General features: G+C 41.6%; 1 annotated feature.

The window, feature by feature from the left end:
- Positions 7,973–8,564: an enhancer, noted in NCBI's record as "NANOG hESC enhancer chr3:31137307-31137898 (GRCh37/hg19 assembly coordinates)". NCBI's record gives its function as "activates a minimal SCP1, AML or CMV promoter by ChIP-STARR-seq in primed H9 embryonic stem cells {active_cell/tissue: H9 hESC(primed)}" and the evidence as "EXISTENCE:reporter gene assay evidence [ECO:0000049][PMID:30033119]".

Here is a 9,335-nt window from a genome sequence, read left to right as displayed (position 1 = left end):
TTCAGCAAAATTGTGATGGAGACATTTTTAGATAGCCAAAATAAAGAAACAGAAATGGAAGCAACAAACTAGTATGTGTACAATATTCCTGAAGTTGAATTCTTGTGCCAGCTAAGCACATTATTATAATTGTTATTGTCACTGACTCCAGTGTATTAAGTACAAATAATTATGCTGTTTTAATTATGTAGTAAATTGACTCTTTTAAAGTACTTGGAAAACATCAAATAATTTTCCTGTAGGAGCAGTTTCTGAGGAGGAGTGCACTTAGGTTGCTGTGCCTGACTTATTTATATATACATGTGTGAAATCCTGCCTCAGGGATGTCTTCTACTTGCCTAGTTCCCTGCCTGAAATCAGGCCATTAGTGCCACATTCCCATGAAATGACTCACGGATTTACATTTATTCATTCATTTATCTACATTTATTTGGGGGACTTAAGATCTGCCAGGTGCTTAATACAGCGGTGAAGGAACTGCAAAAGATGCCCAGTTCCCTGCCTTATCCTCTGAATCTTCAGCCTGCTCCTGAGGCTTCCAACCGCCAGCATCTGTATCTTGCTTCCTGAAGGTATTCTCCAAGGCAGTGGGAGACCACACTTGCCATCACACCCTGCAGCCCCTAAACAATGACTGCTAAGAGCTGGTGTATAAATACCCCCATTCCCTCATTCTACACAGGGAATAACTCTGAGACGCATGGTTTATATAGTTTCCCAGACTTACCCATCAGGATTAAAATTAGATACAGAGTGACAGGGGCCTGATAAAACCACCTTTATTCATTGCTTTCCTTTCTCTGTCTTATTGCCTAACGGGGCTATCTGAGATTCCTTCCCTAATAAAGTATTTTCATCAAATCTTTGTTTTAGGATCTGCTTCTAGGTGAATGCTTGAAGGCATAACCACTGCCTTCTTGAAGGGTTGCCCATTCAATCGCCTCTAGGGGCCAGGCAGGTGTGGTAAATGAGTGAAGCAAATTAACATTCCTCCTGTGAGCTTTACCTACTCCCATATACTTATTACTCAGGGATCCCTGCCTAAAGATGTTAGCATACTAGCCATTCCTTCCCTGCAAGGTATACTTTTTGCTTCCAGGGAGCCTGAGGAGGAATGATTGAGTAAATGAATGGTGTTGCATTCAACAGCTTTATCTACTCATTCATTCACCACACATCAACCCATTCCCCATTTACTCACTATCCGTTCAATCCTCTACCCATTCACTCACCACTCATCCACCTGTTCTTTCGCTGCTCACTTCCACACTGCCCATCTCCAAACATTATTAAAATATTCTCTTTGGGCAGAAAATTATGCTAATTTAAGTAGGGAGAAACAAGAAATGTATAAAAGGTCAATAGCCAATCTTAACATATTTTAGATTTAACTGCTTCCTTTCCCATGAACAATTGGATCTGTTAGAAATTTTCTGAATACCTCAGGCTGCTTCACTTCAAAAAGCATTTGCTTTAACTATTTCATCTTTGTAAATCTCTTCTGCCTTCTTTACTCTGTGGATAGCTCACATTTATCCTTTACAGACTTCTTGAAACGTAGCACCTTTAGTGGATGCAGTGGTTTGCCAGAGAGGGCCCCCATTCAAGTCCCCATTCAGGACTGTGGCACTCATTTACTGCATTACTGGGAGTGTTGGTTGTTGATGGCTTGTATTACTCACTCCTCAGGGGCTCGACTGGTTGATGTGGCGGTACAGAGGCCTGATGCCTTTGCCACAGATTAGGATCTCTCCTAAGGTCCACCCCCGTTTCAGAGCTTCTCATTTGACTGGTTGAGGTCTCAGTTCCAGCTGCAATGTAGCTTATATTTTCCCTAGTCCAATTCTGCTTTCCTCACTCTCTTACAGAGTATTCCCCCATCAACCTCCCCAGTCAAATCTCAGAGAATCAGAGTTGGTTTCTGATGTGGTTTGGCTGTGTCCCCACGCAAATCTCATCTTGAATGGTAGCTTCCATAACCCCCATGTGTTGTGGGACGGACCTGGTGGGAGGTGGGACGTAATTGAATCACGGGGGTGGGTTTTTCCCATTCTGTTCTTGTGATAGTGAATAAGTCTCATGAGATCTGATGGTCATGTAATGGGCAGTTTCCCTACACACACTCTCTTGCCTGCTGCCATGTAAGACATGTCTTTGCTCCTCCTTCACCTCCCACCATGATTGTGAGATTTCCCTAGCCATGTGGAACTGTGAGTCCATTAAACCTCTCTTTCTTTGTAAACTACCCAGTTGCAAGTATTTCTTCACAGCAGTATGAAAATGGACTAATACAGTAAATTGGTAGCAGTAGAGTGGGCTACTGCTATTAAGATACCCCAAAATGTGGAAGCAACTTTGGAACTGGGTAACAAGCAGATGTTGGAACAGTTTGGAGGGCTCAGAAGAAGATAGAAAAATATGGGAAAGTTTAGAACTTCCCAGAGCCTTGGAGGGCTCAGAAGACAGGAAGATGTGGGAAAGTTTGGAACTTCCTAGAGACTGGTTGAATAGCTTTGATCAAAATGCTGACAGTGATATGGACTGTGATATGAAGTCTAGGCTGAGGTGGTCTCAGATGGAGATGAGGAACTTTTTGGGAACTGGAGTAAAGGTCACTCTTGCTATGCAATGAGACTGGCTGCATTTTGTCCCAGCCCTAGAGATCTGTGGAATTTTGAACTTGGGAGAGATGATTTAGAGTATTTGGCAGAAGAAATTTCTAAGCAGCAAAGCATTCAAGAGGAAGCAGAACATAAAAGTTTGAAAAATTTGCAACCTGACAACGTGATAGAAAAGAAAACCCCATTTCCTGGGGAGAAATTCAAGCCTGCACAAGTAACAAGGTGCCAAATGTTAATCACCAGGACAATGGGGAAAATGTCTCCAGGGCATGTCAGAGACCTTCATGGCAGGCCCTCCCATCACACACCTGGAGGCCTGGGAGGGAAAACTGGTTTCATGGGCTAGGCCTAGGGTCCCTGCTGCTGTATGCAGCCTCAGGACATGGTGCCCTGCATCCCAGCTGCTTCAGCTCTAGCCATGGCTAAAAAGGGCCAATGTACAGCTCAGGCTGCTGCTTCAGAGGGTGTAAGCTCCAAGCCTTGGCAGCTTACACATGGTGTTGAGCCTGTGGGTACACAGAAGTCAAGAATTGAGGTTTGGGAACCTCTGCTTAAATTTCAGAGTGCGTATGGAACAGAGTGAGACTCTGTGTCAAAAAAAAGAAAGAAAGAAAGAAAGAAATCATTCATAGTACGGTGTTCTTTTTAGTTGTGACTTCTCAGGATACTTCAAGTTAAAAGGACATAAACTACACAGGAAGAAGCCCCTTTTCATTAAAAAGGATGAAGCCATAGAAAAAACACTAGAAAAATATAGAAAATGTGAAAGTAGTTATCTCCTGCCAGTAGGATGACTGATGATTTTTGTTCTTAATGTGTTTTTGTATGTTCTAATTTTCTGCTATGGATTTACTTTTATGATCAGAAAATATATTATAAAATATACTTAAAACTAAACAACAGTAACAACAACAACAACAAAACATATTGCCTCAGTGTTGGATTTTTCTGCTTTGAGAATCCCTCTAGAATCAGGACTAGAGCAACTATAGGCTATGGGCCAAATCCTGCCCATGACCTATTTTTGTAAATAAAGTTTTATTGGAACACAGCCACACCTATTTGTTTACATAATGTCTATGGCTGTTTTCTTCCTACAGTGGTAGAGTTGAGTAGTTATGATAGAGATAATATGACTACCAAGACTAAAATACTTACAGAAAAAATTTTCCAACCCACGCTCTGGACTGTGAGATCTGTGAAGGGAGGAACTGTTTTACTTATTTTTGTGTCACCAATGTCAGTGCACTGAAAAGTCCAATAAATATTTGTTAAATAATTGAATTTGGGAAATAAAATAAAAAACCTATGCAATTATTAACATAGGAATCTAATACATTCAGAAATATAAATAAGCATAGTTATTGGAGACACCAAGAACTTTGTTCTTTTGGGGCTGAATATATAAATTATTTTTAGGTGATACAGGAGATATCAGATAATTCTGAATGGATGTAATGAATTACTAAGTTTTCAGAGGAGTAAAATAGAAACCTTAGGTTTTTGACATGGCTCAGTCATTTTCTAGCCATGCAACCTAGAACAAGTCACTAAGGGCTCTCTTAGCTTCTTTTTTCTCAGCTATGGAATAAGTAGAAGAACACCGGCTAGGCCAAACTCAGAGGGTTTTTGTGGTAAGCTAATGACATGACGGTGTGAAATGATCTGAAAACTGTAAAGTATTACCCAGGTAAAACGGATTACATTGCAGTCAGAAGTCATTTTCAAAATTAATGTGAAGCACCAGGTTGGTGAAGCCAACCTGATCTATTTGTGTTTTCTAGGGGGTCTTAAACCTTGAAGGCTTGGTTGAATCAACCAGGACCTATGACTGTGCTCCTAATGTGAGCTGAGATGTCTCAGATGGTAGAATACAGGATGGGGTGTTGGTGGCAAATGGCCCTTTCCTTCTAAAAATTGTTCAAGTCTTCAGCTTCTCCCTGGCAATGGGGTTTGGCTTTGTATAGAACAGCATCTGATTTGTCAGCAACTTTTAAGTAGTTTATTGATTTAACATTTCTTCCAAGATGCTAAAAAATCCTTGGTCTGCTGACAGCAACAGGGAGCTGCGTCTTGAAAGAGGACTCTGACGGCTTGCTCTCAGATGTCCTGGCTCCAGCCTTTGCAATCACTGTTTTTCAGAAAATTGTTTTAAATAGCGTTTATGTTCCATTTTGAACAGCCTCTTCTTTTTTTTGCTTCCTTCTTTCCCAACAATCATTGGCAATTGCAGTGTCTTTCCATGGTATTTCACTATCTAACACACTATTGCCGAATGAAGTCATTTCATGGTGAAATAACCTAGGCAGAAGACATGTCTGTTTTGGTAGAATACTGAAGTTCACTATGTCAATGCAATCAGGTTCACAAAACAATTTGCAAAACTAAATTTTCCATTTATTTTTTTCAGAGCACTAAGGAAAAATAGAATCTGTGGAGATGGTCCTTCTGCAAATCTCTAAAAGGCAGGATGTGCTCTTACGAGAATAAAAGGAAGGAATGCATCTTAGAATTAATGCTTTTGGGGTAGGCGGGCTCTCCTAGCACTCTTCTTCCTTTCCTCTAACTCCTTTCATAGCTTCCCACTTCCAAGGAAGAACAATTTACTAATCTGATTGGGCTTTATCTGATTTGTGAATGGACTACTGGACCTTAAAAATCAGCAGGAATTTCAGGATTTCCTTCTTTCTTTCCTTTTATCCTGTGCCTCTAACAGTGTGGGTCGGGTCAAGGTGTTCATTCTCCCTAGTGCCCCATTTCCTCTTTCTTGTGTTGTTCCAAATATTTAGATTTGTAGGAGAAGTAGGAGGTGAGGGTGACCAATTCATCCCAGTTTGCCCAGGACTTTCTGGGCTTTAGCACTGAAAGCCCAGCGTTTCTGGAATCCTTTCAGTCCCAGGCAAATTGACATAGTTGATCACCCTAGACCCTATTTCAGCCTCCAAACTGAGCCACATATACACCTTAACTTTTTATGAGGAGCCTTGAATTGGGGATTATGGAGTCTAAGCTACTAATTAAAAGCTGTTTTTAAAAAACATTAAAAATTTCAAGTTAGCTTTTCTTTCTTCTATCTACTCCCTCATTCTGTAACCCCCTGGAGAAAAGGGATGAAAGACAGGATGGCTTCCCTGCTATAATGGCTCTAAAAATGACTCTTGACATCTAAAATGGCTATGTGTTTTATGGACACAGATACAGAAGGACCAAAAGGACCCTGGGGTCAGTGTCCTGGGGAGCAGGATAAGCAAAGGAATTGGTGGAGACAAAAGAAGAGGAGAATGGAAAATAAAGGCTTTTAAGAAAACGGGCCAATTCTCTAAACAGGTCTCATTTTGAAGACATTTATTCAGGTGAGCAACGTTGAGTTTCCATGTTGTGCTGGATCATGTGCCAGGCCCTGGAGATACTAAGGTGAGTGAGACACAGTCTTACACCTCAAGAAGCAACTTGTCTTGCTTTCTTGGTAACTCTCAGCCCGGTGAGCTCAGCTTCCTCCTTGGACTATGTGAAGGAAAGCTGGGTATAGATCCAATGGGAAATCCTCACCGAGGCCACTTTTTTCAACTGTGACCCCGTCAGGAGAGCTCTGCTCGGCAACCCAACTCTCATTAGGTGGCAGTGTCCATGGTTTTTTGGTCTGGGATGAACGACATTTGTTAACCAGTGCAAATGGGCCTTCATCTCTTTAGAAGCCAGGGTTCAGTGTGCTTCCATGTCCCTGGCAAGCTTTTAAGTTCCCATCACACCAAATTTGAGAAGATCTGCTTGCCTTCTGGCCAGAGGAGATTATTTTAGTATCCTTTAAAAGATGTCAGTGGTTATTTTCCTGGCAAATTCTGGAGAATTGCTTAATCTTGGTCTCTTCCAGGGTTATGCTAGGTAGTGAATAAATGATTGTCTTTTCTATTGTGAGTTTCTTTATCATTACCTCATGGGTAGTAGATCTTATGAAAATCCAAAAATTTTAGTTCTTTTGAGAAATTGGCAACTCTGGCAAATACTGGACCCCATTCTTTGAATAACAACCATCTGGAGTTCAATGGGGACTTTAGAGACGGTTTGCAGTTCCAGATCCCTGAAACCACCCCATCCACTGCTGTCTCTCTCATACTGTAGCAGAAAGAGTCCATTTTTTTTTTATTCCTGCTTGCTTCCTTCTCTTTTATGTTATCATCGTATACAGAGTTGATTTTCCAAACCCTGAGTTCGAGTCTATAATCATTGCACCCTCTTCCATAGTGATCATTTCCTTCCTCCGTTTTTCCATCCTTCCTTCCTACTTTTCCTTTTTCCCTCCCTTTCTATTCTGGCCCCTCTCCTCTCACATCATCTCTCTGCCTGGCTATATAGCTTTATGTAGAATTGTGCATCACTTATAATGTGCACAGAACAAATATTTACACACGATGTCCAGCACAATCATGTAAACCAGGAGATTTCAGTGTGTGGTCCACTGATCATCAGCATCAGAATCACCTGGGAATTTATTATAAATACAAGTTCTCAGTTCCATCTGGACCTACTGAATTAGAAACTCTGGGAGGGTGGGGTCCAGCAGTCTGCATTCTAACAAGTCTCCCAGGCAATTCTGATGCGCATAAGTTTGAGGACCACTGATCTAAACCTTCAAGCAGCAGCCATTTATTGAAAATGAGCTTGTGGAAGGCAATTTACTTCCTTGGCTATCATCTGAGAATAACAGAAATTTCCTCCTCGTTTTTGCTCCATAGGCGTGCTTTGGAGGTGAAAGAATGTCTATTTTCAGTCCAGAAATCACCATTTTGTGAGGTATCAGTTCACTTTCAGTTTCATGGGATGTTTATTGTGGTCTGGAAGCATTTTTTGTCCCTGTCACTGGCAAAAAGAAGGGAGAGGATGAAATCCTCCCTTGTGGTCTGTTAGTTCTTGATTAGATACTATTTGTACTGCTCCTTCAAGTGGTTCCTTGGGCATAAATCTTGTCTCCCCAAACAGATGGTAAGTTCCTCGCAGACAGGAGCTTAAAGCTCAGCAAATCCTGGCTGACTGATTTGAATGAAACAACTTCATTTGCTTCCTTTGCCAAAAGTTGTAGCAGGGACTGAAAAATTCATTTCTCAATTCAGATGAGGATAGCTTGTGAGGGTGAGCTGCTGAAGTAGCTTCTAATCATGCCATCTTGGGTGCAAGTGCCTTTTATCAAAAGGTCCCAAGAATCCTCCCTTCCAAGGGTCCTGCTCACTGAGGATCCTGGGAACTACTTTGGGAACCAAGCCTTGGAATCACTTTCTCTCTAACATGCAGAACATTGTGCCTAATTACTTGGCAAGGAAGAAGGGGAACCCTGATTTTGGGGTAGCTGGGAAAAGGCCATGGGTATGGGTGAGAGGTGATGATTTGATTATGCAGGTATTTAGTTGGTGGCAAGGCCTTGATCTGGCTTGCAGGCTGATGAGATACAACTGGACTGTGCCATCCACTTAATAGCAGGTTAACTACATCAACTCCTCCATACTCCCTGCTTCTTATACCCAGGAAATTTAGGTACAGAAAGGGTAGGGAATCTATCAAACAGCTATTAAGGGAGACTATTCATTCATTCAGTCAGTCGGTTAGTCATTCACTCTGTCCATATGCCGCTATTAAGCTCCTGCTGTGTGCCAGACAATGAATAGTTCCATATACTTGTGTGTTGTGAGTTTCTCTTTTGTTATGCTCCAAATAACGGCTTTGATACTTCTGCAATTGATTTCATTAATTAAGTTAATTTTATTCACAATGTTGGGGACATAAGAAATGGATGCAAATGAATGCTAATTTCTGAATTAATATTTCAAGCTAAGGCCCTTGCCATTTTTTAAGGGAAGATTGCTGCAGTGGTATTGGAATTCAGAAATAGAAGCTTGTTTTTCCTCCTCTCTCATTTAAGCTGGGTAGGCTCTCACCCTGAGAATGAAAGTGTCTGAAGTCTCGAGGACTTCTGCCCTGGTTTTATTCTAGCTCTTGGGAAGTATTCATTAATGCTGAAAATGCTACCTTTTGCCATCTTCCCTCATGACTCTTTTTTTGTCCTAGGTCATAGAATCGATGAGAAACTTATCTTCTCTTTCTGCTCCAGTCCGGCTTTCCTTTCTTTGGCCTTTTGCACACATACATGGTAACATAGGATGGCTCTGAGAGAAAGAAAAAGGTACCGGACAGGATGCAAGCTTTTCAAACCTCTCCTTCTGCTGGTTCCACCCATCATATGTTTCTGTGTTAGCTCAAGCGCCTGGGGCAGGAATTCTTAAGGAGAGTGCTTAAGTGGAAAACTTTCCTACACACAGCAATGATATTGCCTTAATGTGCTCTTTCAGGTTGGGCAACTGACATGTTTGTTTCAGTGGAGGAGTCTCACTGCAGATGAAATTCCACCTTCTTTCTGTGAATGTTTTTGCACTGTAGCAGCTCTTTTTTTCTTTTGGGTGGTGATAAGAGTCGGGGGTGGTGGTTGGATTTTTGCTGGGAGAGCAGAAATTTCTGATTCCGTTTCTTTGACTATTTTAAAGCCTCTATTGGGAGACAGGAAGGATGGTGAAACATGCTGCTCATAGCAATATTCAGGAATTCATATTCTGGAAACCCTTAGCTCAACCCGCAAGACCCTTTGATGATCTAGCCCTTGAAGCCTTGCTGGTTTTGTCTCTTACAGTGCCTGCTTCTCCTCACAAACCTCCCCAAGGTCTAACCGTA

The sequence above is a fragment of the Homo sapiens genome, chromosome 3, assembly GCF_000001405.40.
Source record: "Homo sapiens chromosome 3, GRCh38.p14 Primary Assembly".
NCBI classification, from domain to species: Eukaryota; Metazoa; Chordata; class Mammalia; order Primates; family Hominidae; genus Homo; species Homo sapiens.
This window is presented reverse-complemented; position numbering and strand designations above follow the sequence as displayed.